The 19,510-nt window shown below is 40.9% G+C and overlaps 1 protein-coding gene across 19 annotated transcripts in view; it reads left to right on the forward strand.

The window, feature by feature from the left end:
* Positions 1–19,510, forward strand: part of CARMIL1 (capping protein regulator and myosin 1 linker 1) — a 341,157-nt gene that overhangs the window by 305,919 nt on the left and 15,728 nt on the right. For all 19 annotated transcript variants that reach the window (XM_017011008.2, XM_017011009.2, XM_017011015.2 and 16 more), the window contains 2 exons: positions 9,123–9,235; positions 15,022–15,454. In XM_017011008.2, coding sequence (XP_016866497.1) covers positions 9,123–9,235; positions 15,022–15,454 — 546 coding nt within the window. The remainder of the gene's footprint in view (positions 1–9,122; positions 9,236–15,021; positions 15,455–19,510) is intronic.

Genomic DNA, 19,510 nt, shown 5'->3' on the forward strand with positions numbered 1-19,510 from the left:
TTGTTTTTCTTCCTAGGATTCAGTAAAATCAGTTCATCCAAAGTCTGTCTTAGCTTTTCTAGAGTTTGTCTCTGAACCCTAATGCCTCAAATGAACTTTTCCAGGTGTCAGAATTGTCAGCGCCAAGGCTGAGTTAAATGCCAGCATGCCAGTTTCTTCCAGGCCAAACATGTTGTAATGACCGATTTTTGTGCCAAAAATGTACAAATAGATATTTATGTAATATGAAGAGTAGATAACCTATTTTTTTATTTATTTTTTATTTTTTAGTATTTATTGATCATTCTTAGGTGTTTCTCGTAGAGGGGGATTTGGCAGGGTCATAGGACAATAGTGGAGGGAAGGTCAGCAGATAAATATGTGAACAAGGGTCTCTGGTTTTCCTAGGCAGAGGACCCTGCGGCCTTCCGCAGTGTTTGTGTCCCTGGGTACTTGAGATTAGGGAGTGGTGATGACTCTTAAGGAGCATGCTGCCTTCAAGCATCTGTTTAACAAAGCACATCTTGCACCGCCCTTAATCCATTTAACCCTGAGTGGACACAGCACATGTTTCAGAGAGCACGGGGTTGGGGGTAAGGTTATAGATTAACAGCATCCCAAGGCAGAAGAATTTTTCTTAGTACAGAAGAAAATGGAGTCTCCTATGTCTACTTCTTTCTACACAGACACAGCAACAATCTGATTTCTCTTTCCTTTCCCCACATTTCCCCCTTTTCTATTTGACAAAACCGCCATCATCATCATGGCCCGCCCTCAATGAGCTGTTGGGTAAACCTCCCAGACGGGGTGGCGGCCAGGCAGAGGCGCCCCCCATCTCCCTAACGGGACGGCTGGCCGGGCGGGGGGTTGCCCCCCACCTCCCAGACGGGGCGGCTGCCGGGCAGAGACGCTCCTCACTTCCCGGACGGGGTGGCTGCCGGGCGGAGGGGCTCCTCACTTCTCAGACGGGGTGGCCGGGCAGAGACGCTCCTCACCTCCCAGACGGGGTGGCGGTTGGGCAGAGACACTCCTCAGTTCCCAGACGGGGTCGCGGCCGGGCAGAGGCGCTCCTCACATCCCAGACGGGGTGGCAGGGCAGAGGCACTCCCCACATCTCAGACAATGGGCGGCCAGGCAGAGACGCTCCTCACTTCCCAGACAGGATGGCGGCCGGGAAGAGGCGCTCCTCACTTCCCAGACTGGGCGGGTGGGCAGAGGGGCTCCTCACATCCCAGACGATGGGCGGCCAGGCAGAGACGCTCCTCACTTCCCAGACGGGGTGGCGGCCAGGCAGAGGCTGCAATCTCGGCACTTTGGGAGACCAAGGCAGGCGGCTGGGAGGTGGAGGTTGTAGCGAGCCGAGATCACGCCACTGCACTCCAGCCTGGGCAACATTGAGCATTGAGTGAGCGAGACTCCGTCTGCAATCCCGGCACCTCGGGAGGCCGAGGCGGGCAGATCACTCGCGGTCAGGAGCTGGAGACCAGCCCGGCCAACACGGCGAAACCCCGTCTCCACCAAAAAATACAAAAACCAGTCAGGCGTGGCGGCGCGCGCCTGCAATCCCAGGCACTCGGCAGGCTGAGGCAGGAGAATCAGGCAGGGAGGTTGCAGTGAGCCGAGATGGCAGCAGTACAGTCCAGCCTCGGCTCGGCATCAGATAGAGACCGTGGAGAGAGAGGAAGAGGGAGAGAGACCGTGGAGAGAGAGGGAGAGGGAGACCGTGGAGACAGAGGGAGAGGGAGAGGGAGAGGGAGACTGGGGAAAGGGAGAGGGAGGGGGAGGGGGAGGGAGAGGGAACCTATTTTTAAAAAAGGAAACTAGGCACAAAAATTTAACCTTAGATCAAACCACAGTCATTTTGAGAACAATGGATATAGATATTTTAGCTATATGTTTTTATTCCACCTCTACCACTCCAAAAACAAAAACAAAGATTTTTTTTTAATAACAAGAGCTAGAATGTTTCTTTCTTTTTTCCTTTTTACTTAATTTAAGTAGATAAAAGAATTCTTAAAAATTACATTATAGCTGCTTAGCCCATAGAATTTAACCTTCTACTGTAGTAGTAAGAGCAGGATGCTAGGCTCAGCCAGTGGGCTCTTCCACTCCCTGGCAGTGTGTGTCTGGACAGAGGCTTGTGGGTTTTTTTTAAAAAACCTGAGCCAACTTGTTTCTAAATACCAGCATTGCCTACGTCGTTGAGTTGTCATAAGAAATAAATAGGATAAAAATATGCCATCCTTTACTTAAAAACATTGTTGTTCAAAGCTAGTATTTCCATTTTAATATTATCTTTACAATATAAATCTTATATTTGTTTTTGCTTTTGTACCCATTCTCCCTTTTCTACACTTAAATGGAGGAGGAAGAGAAAAAAATTCCTGGAAACCGATTTAATACCACACTCATTTACCCTCATTAATTCAAAGGGATTCTTACCCATGTTTACTAAGAAACAAATTAACTAACTTTACATACAATTTTATTCAAAAATTATTTCCTCAGTTGAATTGACTGTCAGAAAGTCTTTGCTTTTGGGAAAAGAGCATCACATGGGTAATCTAAGAGTGGAAATGCCATTTTCTCAGGTACCAGAATGTGCCAGCTACAACAGAGAAAAGGGGGAAAACGTGTAGTGTACAGTGAGCCCTCCATATCCACACATTCTGCATTTGAGATTCAACCAACTCTGGATTGAAAATATTTATTTAAAAGGCAATAAAAAAACCACAACAATAAAAAAATTATATAAATTTTAAAATACAGTATAACAATTATTTACGTAGCATTTACATTGTATTAGGTATTATAAGTAATCTAGAGATTATTTAAAGCACACAGGAGGATGTTTGTAGGTTATATACAAATACTATGCCATTTTATAGCAGCGACTTGAGCATCTATGGATTTTTGTATCCTCAAGCGTCCTGGAACCAGTCCCCCTCGGATACTGAAGTTCAGCTGTATTAAGTGGGGTAACACTAGCTACTATATGAGATAAACCTTTACTATGTTAAATCTCTGATATTTTGGAGTTTATTTCTTGTTCATATCATAGTCCATTATGGGTATTTCTGGCCAGGGGACACTACAGTTGTCAGGGATCCAGGCTACTTTTACTTTGTGGCTCTACCCTCCTTTTTGGTCCCTCAAGTCATATGCATTCAGCTGGAGGATGACATAAAGCATGAAGGTTCATACCTCTGAGGTTTTAAGGGCCAGGTCCGAAAGGATGAGCTTCACATTCATCTGAATACCACTTTCCAGAACTTGGCCACGTGGCCACCTAACTGCAGGTGAGCATTCTAACCACGACACCCAACAGGGATGGAGGCATGCTTATACTCACTCATCCACTGCCAGTTAGCTATTGCTTCTTTCTACTTTTTCCTAACATAGCTATAGGTGACAAGTATTCCCTTAAGGAAAAATCATTGAAAAATTTGCATAGAGGAGTGGAAAGAACACTGGACTGGGATATAGTGCTGACTCTACCACTAACTGGAATAATCTCCTAGTGGAAGGAATTTTAAAGATTACTCAATATTCAAGGGAATATGAAGCCCAGGACAGATACCTGATTTGTCCATGATCATTCTCTGAAATATTATACCATGCAGTGGCTTCACTTTGTGTGATAGGTCAGTATCAGTCAGTTTGCCATATATTCTCGGCATAGGGCATAGCCCCACACTAGTCGGCCCAATGATGAAACAAACCAACTCAAATTAAAATGGACTAACTCCTGGGTAATAGGTTTTCTCCTGTATGCATTGAATCATGGTGTCATAAGGCTGAAAAGGATCTTCAAGTCATCTTGTTCAGCCCCTCATCTGGTGCTTAAAAATCCCTACACAGCCATTGATTGGCCATTCCATCCACAATGACTTCTTTCTCTGAAGCTGCCATTTTCTTAAAGCTCTAATTATTAGCAAATTATTTTTTGTGTTGCTAAAACTCTTACTGTATAGCTTGAACTTAGCCATCTTGTTTCAGTCTTCTGGAGTGGCACGTGGTATCCAAGTCTCTTCTACTTAGTAGACTTAACAATATTTGTGGGCCAAATCTTAATTCTTCAGCTCTTTCGATGTACTTCATATGAAATTGTCTGGAATCCATTTACAAGTCTTGTTACTCTGTTCTGAATAAATTGCAGTGTGGCACCCAAGACAAAATAGAGTACTTTAGTAAGATCTGCCATATCGCTTCTCTCCTTTTATTTATTTATTTTTGAGACAGGGTCTCACCTGTCACCCAGGCTGGAGAGCAGTGGTGCGATCTCAGTTCACTACCACCTCCCCCTCCCAGGCCCAAGTGATCCTCCCACCTCAGTCTCCCAAGTAACTGGGATTACAGGTGTGCACCACCACACTCTGCTAATTTTTGTGTTTTTTGTAGAGACAGGGCTTTGCCATGTTGCCCAGGCTGGTCTCAAACTCCTGAGCTCACACGATCCACATGCCTCAGCCTCCCAAAGTACTAGAATTACAGGTGCGAGTCACCACACCCGGCCCATTGCTTCTCTCCTTTTAAATAGGAAACTTCTATTTATTCAACCACAGGTTGCATTCACCTTTAAAATGGCTATATCATCCAGGTGACTGGTATTGATCTTATTCTCAGGCAAGGTCTATAATCTGTTTTTATACACATATTTCAGACAGAGAAAAAGGGGGTGCATGCAGCAGGGAATCTAAACTACCCGGAAGTCCTAGTATACTTCCAGTTGCATCTTAATGGCCAGAAATGAATCATATTTCCATCCCCAGCTACAAGAAAATCTAGGAAGATAAATAGCCAGTTGGTCACATCAATACTCCAATAAGTCAGGGTTTTGTTATTGAGTCAACAAGAGCGAATAGACACTAAATAGACACAAAGCAGTTTCTGCTGTAATTTATTCAGTTAAGAGACTTTTCTTCTATTTTGCTAATTTTGTTTTGGAATGAATGGTAGTTTGATTCTTTTTTTTCGGTATTTGTTGAGACTGATAATTTTTCTTTTTTAATGTGAAACTTGGGTGAATTTCAACATACTTTTTCTAGTGTTATAACATTTTTAGTCATGAGTTTTTGCTTTGTTTTAATACACTGCTAGGCTTTGCTAATATTTTATGAGAACTTTTGCATCTATATGCATAAATAAGAGAGACTTAACATGTTTATTTTTCTTGTCTAAACCATCCATCTAGTTTGGCTTTCAAAGTTATACTATCTCCATAAAATTGATTGGGAAGCTCTTTCTTTTCTCCTATTCTCTGGAACAGTTTACATATAATAGAGATTGTCTCTTCCTCTCCTGGGATGCCATCTGGGCCCTAAGTGTTGTCTATATGCTTGTGTGCATGTGATACTTGTATGTAGATATATTACTAAGGATTTTATTTCTTTTGTCATAGATCTGTTCAGGTTACCTAATTCTTAAGATCATTTTGATAATTTATATATTTTTAAGATATCTTCCATTTAGTCTAATTGTTCATTTAATTGTTTATAGAATTCGTTTAAGTTTTTAATTTCTTATACTGATAGCTTTAATCTCTTATATAGCTATGTCCCCTTTTCCATTTTAACATATTTTTAATGCCTGTTCTCTTAATGTTGTCATCTCTTTTTCTAAGAGTCAACTGTTTTATCAATCCTCTCAAGTTCATTTTTTTCTTTTATTATATTTTCTTCATTTTACTTCCTTTGGGTTCCTTATATCTTGATTGCTTAGCTAATTAATTTTCCATGTTTTTTACATTCTAATATATGCACATAACATTCCATGATTATTCAGTTCACTAATTAGCACTCCTTGGTATATCTGTTCAAAGAATTACTAATGCACCTAATTGTCCTTACTTCCTGCCCATTCCTCTCCATCTAGCCAATGAAGACATTGTGAGAGATTTGGCAGCTGCCGCATCAAAATCCAGGTGCACCGCCTACTGTCTTTCCCTGGTGTATTCACTGTAATAATCCTGGCAGAGGGAAAACAGGGTGGTCTGAATTGTCTTTAGTCCTCACGATCACCAGCTTATTTTCTCAGCATTCACGAGTTATCCTTTTAGCACTTACACACTGGAGGTGCAAAATCTACCTTCTTTATCAAATATCAGCAACAGCGATTCCTGATTTTATTTGTAAAAGCCTTTCTCTGAGTGCAAATGCAGTGGATTCTGGCCCCAGGCTCACGGCTGAGGTTTTTGCTCCCTCCTTTTCCAACAGCTGTTCTACCCTTTTCAGTCTGAAATGTATTCTCCTTGACAGAAAAGACCAAAAGCAAATGGGATTTTGAGAACTTCTGATAACTGTTTGTCCTTTCCTTTGCTTTTGTTAGAAAAGGAGCTGAAACAGCATGTACATTTGACCTTGAACCCTTTTGCAAACTACATTTCAATTCAGTCTTCAGTTTTTCTACTGCTCTTCACGTAGGCTGATGCCACCTCCTGCTTCCTATTTTAACAGATGCATTTTAAACCATGTCTCATGGAAGATCTCCCAGTGATACTGGACTTCTCTTAATCTTTCTGCTCTCTGTCTCTTTATCTCTAAAATGACAGGGTTGGACTGGAGGATCTGTAGGGGCCAGTCCAGCCCTAAAAGCTGGGCTGTCCTGCAGGAAAGCAAACTGTTTTGTTCAGCTCTGTGCCTCCATCTCTGAAACCCATTGATGTACCCCACATCCCCAGAGAACCTTTTGTGCTGGCTGTGACTTCTGTTTCCAAGCAGGAAAAGAGAAATTTTTCCTGAGGGAAGAAATTATACAAGTAAAACTTTGTTTTTTTTTTGTTTGTTTGTTTGTTTCAAAATGAAAAGAGGAATCATTGGGGGAAGCTGGGAGGAAGCCCTGTGTTAGGACCGTATGTCCTGGGGTCGCATCTTTCTTCATCCATCAATCAGGTGACCAGTGTGGGTGCCGCTAACCTTCTGAGCCACTGTTTGATCTGTGACTAACCAAAAAGTAGGATAGTACTATCTCTTTCAGTTTAAAGGGTAGACATAAGGGTGACATAATAACGTGTAAAACACATGTAAACTGTCAAGAACTATATTAACTTAAGGGGCTATTACTGCTATAGAGATTCTATCCTCAATACTTTTCCAAAAGGGAAAAATAATATAATACAAGCAAGTTCTGTACTACTTTATCTTTTGTAATCAAAGTTTTTCAGTGAGCTTTTTTCTCTGCATAACGGAATTATAGAACTTTGCTGATTGTCTGCTCTTGTGCAACATGTAGGAAAACCTTGCTCCAATATAAAGCACCATTCAGATGAGAGGTGTAATTGTTATTTCATAGGGTTCTTTGCCTATTATCTGTTGTCTCTTCACTTTTCAGCATGTCACAAACATGAACTCAAACACATAGTTCATTTTCGTAATGAGAGCTTCCCAATGAATGAAGCGGATGATTGTTCAAGGGGTTTTTTCTTTAAACAATTTCCATACAGACATAAGCCATGTTCCCCCTAGGCACCTTGAGACTTGCAAATCAAGATTACAGGAAACAGCTTTCCCACCGCTCTATGGCAAGACATCTAGACCAGGTATCCCAACCACATGAGAATTTGTCCTTGTATCCAACAGCATGGGCAAGATGCATGCTCTCTCTCAGTCATCCACAACCTATCTGTGAAATATTAATATACATTGCAGACACAAATCAAGCATCTGACTAAGCTTACTATGAGTTGTCCTTTCAAAGAGACATGCTAACTTAGTATAGCTTTCTGATAGCTTCTCACCAGCCTCTCTCATAAGATCGGAGTTTTTGGCTGCCTGCTGGACACCTGCTTCTGGATTTCCCACAATACCTCAAACACTCAAGAAGATAAGATACAGCTTTTCCCCCAAATATGATATTTGTAACGTGTTCCCTAGAACCATGTCCCCATTTACCTGGCCTAGAAACTTTGACCATATCTTGGGCAGCTCTTGTCTTTCCATTCTCACTTCTCCACTTCATTAGTTCCTCATCACCTCCAGATTACATTAAATTATTCAAGAGTCTTTGATTTCAGCTCCTGAACAGGTTTACCTACTTATATTCTCTGGCGTCTCCAATTGGTCCTTCATACTGCCCCAGAATTACCTCCCCAGAATTCAGGCTGGGCCATGCTGCTGCATTGGTGGCTCCCTATCATCTAAGCAGTAAATTCCTTCTTCCTTAGCATAAGGCTCAAGGCTGTTCCTTATGGGTTATTGTATTATTAGTTGGAAAGTATTCAACTGGATATTATGAAATACTCAATACTGACTCAAAAGTGACTTAAACAATGAGAAATATTTATTTTCTCACCTAACAAAAAATCCAGAAGCCTCAGGATCCAGGCGTGGCTTATTCAGCAGCAGAGCACAGATACCCAGGTGCTTTCCCCTTTCTGCTTTGTTATTGTCAACCAGCGTGCAGCCTTTTATCCTTGGGCCTCCCCATTTGGTGAATGCCAGTGGCCTTCTGCAGCTCAGACATCACATATGCCTCACATAACTGCAGAAAAACACATTCTCTCCTCCTGACAAAACCTGCCCCCATGAGCTCCCTAGCAAATGTCCCCTTATATCTCACACACCAGGATTATATCCCACTCCCATGCCTGTTAATCACAGACAAGAGGAAGGGATTGTAGCTTAAGCAAATCAGTATCCATAATCTGACTCTAGGGCTCTTCCAGCAAGAAAGAAAGTAGTCAGGGGAGAGGGTTAGGGGAAGCCAGTAATAGCATCTACTATGTTCCATCCTTAGCAGCCAGCCTCACCCACACACCTCAGGGCCCTGGAGTCATCACCACTCTCAGAAGTCAGTGCGTGTTTCATTTCTCCATGCACTCCCTTTCCCCTTACCACACGCCTGCAGTGCCTTTCTCTGCCTTTAGAAACACTCGACTCGTCCTATCTGTTAGGTCCAAGCTTCTGATGTACCAGTCAGCATGAATCTCCACAAGGCATGGTGTTTATCGTGCATCCCTCACTTTTGTTTCTTCTTGTCTGTGTTATGATTGTACATATGGCTTCTATTCCTGTAGATTACGTGGTCCCTATTTTAGTGAGCCTTGTCCCTCCCATAGCCCTTAATCACAGTGTCTTAAATCTAGTAATAAATGTTTGCTAAATCAAGGTGCATGTGAATTAACATTACATCTGTTTGTTTTGCAGGTCTGTGCTGCCAACATAGTCTCACAAGATGGTGAACAGAATGGTCTCATGGGGAGAGTGGATGAAGGTGTAGATGAATTTTTTACCAAGAAGGTGACCAAAATGGATTCCAAGTGAGTTCAGAGTAATTTCACTGATAATGCTATTTTATTCATATTTAAATTACTAACAGTTACAATTAAACTTAGTATACTAAGTTTCATTTTATATATGGAAATTACTATTCTGACAGCTTGCAAAATATGGTCTCTGGGCCGGCAATACCAGTGTCAACTGGGACCTTGTTAGAAATGCAAACTCTCAAACTCCTACCCCAGACCTACTGAATCAAAAGCTCTGGAGGTTGGGCCCAGCAATCTGTATTTTAATAAGCCCTCCAGGTTATGCTGAGGCATGCTCCAGTTTGAGACCTATTGTACGAATCTAAACCAGACCACAAAATATACCACCCCAAGATTCTTTTAGGGCTTTATCACTTGGATAGTTCCATTACAGGGTAATGATCATGGTTATGCTGGAATTACTTACTTTGAGCTTCTCCTTGTTCATAATTTGATTTATTGGGTTGGGGGGCTAAGTCATTGCTAAATGGCATGATTTAACAGACAGTGTCAAAATGACAGCAAAATTAGCAGAGAGCCCTCAGAGTCAGCATTTTCTGAAGTTTTCTCCTCATTTTCTTGCTACTGAGACAGTTCCCTTAGAAGATAGTTCAGTGGTACTTTTGTTAACAGTTCTTTAACTTGAAACATTTCAGTCTTTAAGCATGATTTGTACCATGTTATTTAATCCTCAACTAAATACAAATCTATCCCAAAATACACTCTTAACATGGATTTGTCTTTATGAAGATTCTCACCTTGAGATATCAAATTCAGGAACAAACATAAGCCAGATAAGCCAAAGGCGGCAGGCTGGGCACAGGTAGGGAAGCAACTAATCAATTCTATTAGATGGATGTGCCTTATCTTGCCTCGGCAGGATGGTGAGGTGGCAGTGGGTTAAATTTTATATCCATAACAATGTAACTTACTGAATCTTATAACCTTTAGGACCCAATTATTTGTCTTCTTTGACACTGGCCTTGAAGCTTAGCATACTATACTTGGCAAAATTTTGTTCTGCTGTCTTTCAAGAACCAACCTAAATGTCATTTATTCTTTGAAGCTTTTGTGGGACTGCTCCTCCCACCCCCCCGAATTAATTGCTTTTTCTCTGCTGCTGACTTAATACTTTTCTTTCCATCCTTCAGACACATCTGTTAAAGCCCACGGAATCCTTTAAGAGTTTGTTTGATTTTTAATTTTTTTATAACTGAAGGAATAGGTGAATGTGTTTTCAATGTAAAAGATTCAAGAAAAACCAACACAAACATATAGCAAAATGGGAAATCGCTGTTAATGATTTGCTTTCAAGGCTTTTTTCCCAAATAGAATGCTACTCTTCAGGAGCGATACCTGGGCCTTATTTTGTTATAGCTTCAATGTCTAACGCAGCCCATAATATATAGTCTGCCCCTCAATTAGTGATGGTTAAATGAATGGAGAAAATCTCGACTCATCTCCATGTGATTTACAGATACTATTGTTTGCTCTTTTTAAACTTCTGAAATTTATATTCAGTTAGTGAGGTGGTTTATAAGCATTCGATCCGAACTGTACATATTGTTATACCCGTCCCAGTGTGATTTTCTCTCCCGTTAATGCTAGTTTCTTCTTTAATAGGCTCTGAATGAAAGTTGGGTAAATTTTGTAAGGTATAAAATATATTTTTTTTATAAAGATACTGCTCAAGGAAGATTCCGTTCATGTTTCAGTGCACAAATAGAAATAAATACGTCAGTTTTCATCATCAAATAATATGATGGAATCTACTAAAAGTTGTGATTTGAAATTTCTTTATAAATAGATTATTGTCAGTCCAATCTTTAAAGGTCAAGGGATAGGTAAAATCATGAAGTAGTACGAAGAAAGTTTGAAAATCAAAGTTATAAATGCTCATAAAGTGTCAGATGTTCTACAAAGGCTTAAAAAAGTTTCCTTATTATTTTCCCACTCCCTATTCCCCAGAGGCAACTAATTTTTATTCCTTTAGCTGTTTCTTCCATTTGTCTTAATAGCATGCTTTCTTTTTTCTGTTTTCTGTGTTTCATTTTTAGATAGTACTGTAACCGCTAACTTCTTACTTAAATGATGATAATACAGACTGAGTGTCTCTTATCTGAAATGCTTGTGACCAGAAGTGTTTCAATATTTGGGATTCTTTTTTGAATATTTGTATTATACTTGCAGTTTTACATCCCTAATCTGAAATTCAAAATGTTCCAATGAGCATTTCTTTTGAGCATGTTGGTGCTGAAAAAGTTTCAAATTTTGGAGCATTTCAAATTATGGATTGCAGATACTCAACCTGTATACTCTGTCACCAAACACACAGACACACACACACACACACACACACACACGTACTCATGTACTTAGACACACACTTTTCCTTGCCCCACTTTCTTTATTTAATTTTATCATAATTGGTGTCTTTGTCTGTTTTCTGTTGTTATAACAAAATACTTATGAGTGGGTAATTTATAAAGGAAAGAGGTTTATTTAGCTCATGGTTCTGGAAGCTGGGAAGTTCAAGTTTGGGTGGCCACACTGGTTGGCTTCTGGTGAGGGCCTCATGCTGCATAATGGCATGGCAGAGAAGTGAAAGGAGAATTGAGTGTGTGCAAAAAGAAAGGAGGGATGAAGGAGGCTGACTCACTTCATAACAACCCACTCTCTCAAGAATGTATCCATTCCCATGAGAACTAATACAGTCTCAGTAATTGATTTTAATAACCTAATCAACTCTTAAAGGTACCACCTCCCAATACTATCAAAACTCATGTTGAGCCCAAGCCTCAACATGAGTTTTGCTGGGGACAAACCACAGGAGTTGGTTAGATCAATATTTAGTGTTTGCTTCATCCTAACCATGTAAATATTGACAACTGTGTTAGATCGTATACTGTGATTACATTTTCTTTCTATAGAATTTTTTGTTTTCCTTGGTGTTAATTATTGTCCCCTTTTTCATTTGCTTTGTTTTCTGCATTCCTTTCACTGACTTATCTCCTAAATCTCCAGTAAGGATATAAATTTCCTTTCAGTTTGTTCAAGTATTCTCAGTTTTTTTTCTTCTTGGACACACCTCTCACCAGCATCTGACCAGCTCCAGTGTGACCTCTAGGCCCATTCCACTGCTGTTGTCTGGGATCTCCCTTCATCATCTGCTGGGGGATTCCCTTCACCTCGTCTCTGTGTCATTTTTCTGTTTCCATTGGCCCATGTTGGTCTTAGTTTATGCCCCTGTTTTGGTGGAGCACCTTCTTGAATTGCTTCCTGAGAAAGACAGTTTGGAAAACAAGTTTCTGTAACTGTTGCATATCTTTCATTTGGATTAATAGTGTCACTAGGTATAGAATTGTAGGTTGCTCTTCATTGTACCTTAGCATTTTGATAGCTTTCCTCCATTATCTTCTAGCTTCCGGTGTTGCTATGAGAATCTGATGTTGACTTGAGTCTTTCTTTTGTTTCTGACTTGCTTTTGTTTTCCTGCTCCTGGAAGCATTTGGGATCTTCTCTGCATTCCCAGTGTACTAAAATTTTATGATGATATGTGCCCTGAGGTGGGTTTTTTATTTTTTAATTTTTTTAAAAAACCAATTTGCTTGACACTCATAAGCCATTTCAATCTGGAAACTCATGTCCTTTGTTGCTGAATTTTTAAAAATTATTTCTTTCATAATTTCTTCCTTTTTTCTCTGTACTTTTTTTCTTAAACTTCTATTATTATTATTATTTGAGATAGCATCTCACTCTGTCACCCAGGCTATAGTGCAGTGGCGTGATCATGGCTCACTGCAACTTTGACCTTCCAGGCTCAGGTGATACTCCTACCTCAGACTCTTGATTAGCTGGGACTACAGGCATGGACCACCCCTCCCAGCTAATTTTTGTATTTTTTGTAGGGATGGGGTTTTGCCATGCTGACCAGGCTGGTCTCGAACTCCCAGGGTCAAGCAGTCTGCCCACCTCAGCCTCCCAAAGTGCTGGGATTATAGGCATGAACTACCATGCCCAGGCCATTACTCAGATTTTTTATTTCCTCTGTTAATCCACTAATTTCTACCTTTTCTCTCCTATTTTTTAATTCTTTATATTCCCTTTGTTTTTCTGGGAGATTTCCTCAGTTGTATCTTCCAACCTTGAGTTTTCTACTTCTGCTATCACATTTTGCTATTATTCATGTTGGTGGATGCAATATTTTTTCTCTTCCGTGTTGAAAAGGAATGGGGGCACCGAAGAGCTTCTTGGAAATTTGTGGGTAGAGCTTGTCGACTGGTGGGCTTCAATGTAGGGTGGTCTTCCTGGACCATTTTGTTGCGGGGAGAGGGTATCCCTGACTCTCAGAATCTTTAGGTCCTTTCTGTTGAGCTTTGGAAACTTTGATCTCCTGCCTGGCAGGTATAAACCTGCCTGTCTGATTCTGGCATGCAGAGGGAGAAAAAGTCCCGGGGATGTCACTGCTCACTGTGCAGGCTTTCTTGAGCCTCCCTGTTTCGTGATCCTCACTCAGCTCAGCTGCATTTGGAGTCCCCCAGCTCAGCTTCTTTGGTTCATTCTTTCCAGAGAGTGAACTTGGGTGTTGGGATGGGCATCATTGGCTCTGTGGTTTAGGGAGAGGATCCGATGAATTTTTGAATGGGCTTCACAAAGAAGAGAACCTTCCTGTCTTCATTTCCCCTTCACTTCCACTTGCAGAGGTGCCCGCGTCTCCTCATTCTGGAGCCAGCACAAATCAAATGCTTCTGGGTCTCCCCGACTGTTGGCTTAGGTTTCAGCTTTCTCTGATCTATTAAGTCAATTTTCACACATAACTAGTGTATTTTGGCTTCCAAATTTTATTGTTTTTGCCTTTTCTCCCCTGTAGGGCTTATGCTTTCTTTTATAAATCCTTTGTTATTATTTTAATGGCGATTCAGGGGAGCTAAGTGGATATTCAGTCTGCCAGCTTTAAATGAGACAAGTTGTCTGTGATACTTCCTACTTAGCTCATTTCATTGACTCCTTCTCCCCTTCCATTTCCCAAGTTTCAGCATATTCTCCTTCTGAAAACTCTCCCAGAGCATACTCTCTGCCTTTTGGAACCAAACTCAGGTTTAGCTGCTTGCCCCTCAAAAAGTCAAACGCATGAGAAGCAAAGTTTGGTTTATGCAAGTGCCGACAGCTTGGGAGATGGCCAGACTCAAGTCGCAAAAAGCCATCTCAAATTTTCAGGCTGGCTAAAGGGGTTTTAAGGTGAAAGGCGGCATGAAAACTATGCACAGGAGTGGTGTGGGGTGCAGGTCTGTTGGTTGTTTTCTGATGACTATCTTGAGTAATGGACCATTTGGAGGTCTGGTTGGTTTCCTCTTGGCAGGGGTTAGGTTATGGATTAACTGTGTACCAATTTCTACTTGGAAGGGAGAAAATTGTACCACCACCTCTGTTTTATGCCTGGATTGTTTTAAGATTACCCTTTGGAATTCTCAAGCAGAGCAAGTGGTTATATATATATATAAAACAAGAAACAAAGGGAGAGGGGTTACTTTTAGAGTAAGCTAGCAAACTGGCTGTACCAGTTACATTTTCATCTTTCATTCTTAATGTGTGCGTGCCTCGATTTTCTCACGTGAATATGATAATGATATTCCACATTCCTTTCTGTTTCCTAAGGGCGGTAACTCAAATCTGCTTTTAAAAATGCTTCTGAATGGTTACTGTATATGTAGCAATCTCCATATTTATATTTTGACTGATTCTTGCTGGAACTTATTTACAGTAAAAACAACAGATCTGTGTCTTGGTTTGAAATGCAGGAAATGGTCAACAAGAGGCTCAGAGTCCCATGAGCTTAATGAAGGAGGAGATGAAAAGAAAAAGCGAGATTCTCGGAAAAGTAGTGGCTTTCTCAATTTAATCAAATCCCGGTCCAAATCCGAGCGACCACCAACGATCTTGATGACAGAAGAACCCTCCTCACCAAAAGGGGCAGTCAGAAGTCCACCTGTGGACTGTCCCAGGAAGGACACAAAGGCCGCCGAGCACAATGGCAATTCTGAACGGATAGAGGAGATAAAAACACCTGACTCCTTTGAAGAGAGTCAAGGGGAAGAAATAGGGAAGGTGGAACGGAGTGACAGCAAGAGCAGCCCACAGGCAGGGCGGAGGTATGGGGTCCAGGTGATGGGCAGTGGTCTGCTGGCAGAGATGAAAGCCAAGCAAGAGAAGAGAGCTGCGTGTGCGCAGAAGGTAAGGGTGGACCTATTTTTAATTCATTCATTTATTTGATATATAATAGATGCACACATTTTCATGGTGCATGTGATATTTTTATGTATGTCTATCACCTTAAACATTTAACTTTCCTTTATGCTGGGAATATTCAAATTACTCTCTTCTTGCTATTTTGAAATTGACAATAGATTGTTGTTAACTAGAGCTACCCTACTGATCTGTCCAATACTAGGTCTTGTTTCTTCTATCAGCTGTGTTTTTTGTACCCATTTTGTACCTCTTTTCATCTCCCCCCATGTCCCCACACTTCCTGCCGTCTGGTAACCCCCAATCTACTCCTTGTCTTCGTGAGATAAGTGGGGGTTCATTTTTGACTTGGTTGTCCTTGTTTGTGTTTTTGCCCTCGCTGGGTTTATTTGGGTGAGAAAATAAAAATAGCCTGTTGGTTAAATAGAAATCCAAAACCATAACTTATTGCTAAAGAACCTGGAGCACAGACCCTAAAGAAATGGCCATGTTCTCACTTTGGCCTGAGGGTCACAGTCTTGTGGAGTGCCGGCATTCTAACATAGGCTTTGAAGACTCCGGTCTTTCCCCACCTGCCCAGGGGCCTCCTGTGCATGTTGTGGAAGCATGTCAGAGATGTTCCGGGGCCAGGTGAAATGCTCACATCTGGGGGAAAAGACAGTCGGCTGAATCCAGATGGAAGACTGAGGGTAATATTGAAGATAGGTGAACTAACAGAGGGAAATAAAAACACTGAAACTAGATTATATATAAAAATGGGAACTATTTTCTAACTTATTCCCTTTTCAAACCTAAAAATTATTCTCTTTTTAAACCTAAGAATGCCTTGCTATATTCCAGATTTAAAAGACAAAGACAAAAGAAAAAACACTCAAGGTATTCTATTAGAATTAACTGAATATTTGACCATTGATATATATCATCTGTTGCTACAGAGAATAACTTCATAGTTTAAAATTTGCTGAGTTCCCCCCAAATCTGACTTAAAACATTATTTATTCTTCAAATCTCCTTTTAAAGTATAAGGAGTCTTTTTCACTTTTCTTTTTACCCCTGTTTTCTCTTGTCACTCACTACATGAAGGATTGTATCTGTGTGATAAGATGAACATACCTATGTTTAAGTCAGGTTGTGGTTTCTGTGCATTATCTTGAGCTCCATTATTTTTACACAACTGGTTCTCCAAGAAAGGAAATCACATGTCTATTTTATTTGAAGTATCACAATAAAACAGTTCATCCCGGTGAGCCCTTGACTTTCAGAAAGTAAACAATTAACTACATGGCAGGTGTAGGGAGCTCTTTTATATGGCTTCTAAACAACCAATGTTTAAAAATTAAACTCCACTTCCCACCTGATCTTACAACTATTTACCAAAGTTCTCCCACCAACATCAACATTATTTAGCAATTCTTTAATTGCAGAACCCTCCTAATTCACTGAGCAACCCTTAGAGTTGGGAGAGACCACAGAACTATATCCTGCTCACTCAACAAAGGAGGCATGGTGTGGCCCTCACTGGTCAGAATTCTGGATAATACTACAACCATGTCATTAGTGAGTCAGATGCCCAAGGAAATGTTAAAATTTTAATCCATGTTGTGAATTTCTTTATAACAATGAATGTGCGGTTTTGATTAATATGCTGTTTATGTTTTTCATGATTAACAGTTTCTTTTTGGTGTAAAGATGACATTTACTAGAGTGTTTTATTCATGTACTTTGGATTTGATATATAAATCGACTTAAAGTGACAAAACCCTTATGGTTTTATATTTGTTTAGGGCTTACACAGTATTAATGATCTGTTAGCGCCATCTAGTGTCACTTTAAAACAACCATTGTTAAAAATTCTTGCTATTTAAAATTCAGACCAGTCATGGGTCTTCTGTCAAAATCATTAAATAATGAAGTTTTTCAAAAATTAGCTTTAGAACATTTTTTTTCTAAAGTACCATGACTGTATTCTTTCTAAAGGTAGCAACAATAGCATCAATGATCAATATACTGTTGATAAAATATATGATGTCTTCACCCTCCTATAAGTAATTCTCTTTGCGTTGCTGGCATTTGAGATATATACATATAAATATGTTTAAAGAAAAAGAACTGTAAGTATGAAGATATGACACTTTTCATTTATTGACAAAAGAGAGAAATAAGCAGTGAATACTTAGAGTTCATATATTTTCCTCTGGGGCCTCCAAGTCATCTGTCCACACACAAAGGCAATGGGCATTGTATTATTTTATCCTTATTCCCCACAGTCACTTTGGGATTTATAAATAACTTTAAAAATCTGGGAGGGAAAAGAGAACAACTCCCAGGATTGCTTTAGAGATGCAGGCAAATGGGGTGCCCCGGGTACAGAATTTAAGGAGGTCCTCACTTTCAGGTGCCTGCCATGCACTTGGAGGAACCTGAAAGGGAAGGATGTGAAAGGGGACTTCATGGATGGTCCCCAGCCCTGTCCTGCAGACACTTGTCCTGGGCACAGAGGGCTGGCATGGGACTTCCTTTTTAGGGGATCACTTTTCCATAGTGATGCCGAATAGTGTGCTTGTGTTAGCTGCAGTGCTTGTATACACATTTCCTCCTGGAGATCTGTTCAGCACCTTGCATTCATGACAGTGGAGCTTTTGTCATCTTCCTGAGAAATTCCTCAGCCTTCCTGCCACTTGGGTGCTTCCTTCTGATAGAGCCAGCACTCCTGGGGAGTGTGTGACTGGGGTAGATTGATGAATTCAGGGAATGAGGCTTATCTCACCTGCATTTCAAATAATACTTCCTGTATCATCAAACACAGTTTAAAGTTAGGAATTGGCTGCAGAGCTTTTTAGGTTTGTCAGAAGCATGGGATGAGCAGGAACCAGCAGTCTGAAGGTCAGACTGCCTTGGGAATCATCATGCCTGCTGGTCTACTGGTCCACAGTGTTTTTGCTTGTTAGACAGGCAGTAGATGTAGACCATCTTTGTCAATATAATTCTTAGATGTTATGAAGTAAACACCAGACTTTGCTTTGTATATCTTTTTTTTGTATCTAAATGCCTCAGTCTAGTGTAGACTTTCTAAACTTTCTACTCCTACCCCAAGACAGTGGCATTTTACTTTCCCCATCATCACCATCACTAATTCCTCCCACCTGCAGATTTTTAAAAAATTTATTCGGTCCTGTTCATCTGTATTTACCTCCTAAATAATAGATCTGTGTCATGTGGTTCTACCTCAAAGCAAGGAAGACCCTGCCTATTTCAGGACCCCTTTCACCTGTATTATCATTGAGGTTGGAAAGGTTTCTGCTGCTTTGAAAATTATATATATATTTTTAAATAGATAAGGTCTCGCTCTGTCACCCAGGCTGGAGTGCATTGGCACGCTTTTATAGTTCAGTGCAGCTTTGAACTCCTGGGGTTGGTCAGGTGATCCTCCTGCCTCAGCCTCCTGAGTAGCTGGGACTTCAGATGCATGCCATCATGCCTGACTAATTTTTCTATTTTTTGCAGAGATGGGGGGTCTCACTATGTTGCCTAGGCTGGTCTCAAGCTCGTGACCTCAAACAATTCTCCCATCTCAGTTTCCCAAAGTGCTGAGATAGATTACAGGCATGAGCCACTGCACCCAGCCAAAACTAGATTTTTGGAAACCAAACCTAGAGCAGATTCTGTACATTTCTAGCATGCAAGGGCCCTCATCACATAAAGCATCAGGGGCTGCAGAGCCTGCATAGGTGTTCAACAAGAAAAACAGTAAAGGTCACCAAGCCCACTGACTTTCCCTGGCCCCATGCACCTCTCACCTGTGAGGAGCCTTCCGAGGAACCAAACCGGCCACACTTTGGACCCCAGAGTCCTGACCGTAAACACAGAATAGAATGTGTTTCTCACAGTTTTGTCCCAGCCAGAGAGCCTATGGAGACAGGTCAGGCACAGTCACCATAACAGCAGCTGAGTTAAAGAGCCCTTCTTTGCTGTCATTTATTATCTGCATTGTTTTTTCACTTTTGCATTAAATAAATGTGCACTTTTTGGGGGGATGGTGCTTGA

This window comes from Homo sapiens, chromosome 6, assembly GCF_000001405.40.
Source record: "Homo sapiens chromosome 6, GRCh38.p14 Primary Assembly".
Taxonomy (NCBI): Eukaryota; Metazoa; Chordata; class Mammalia; order Primates; family Hominidae; genus Homo; species Homo sapiens.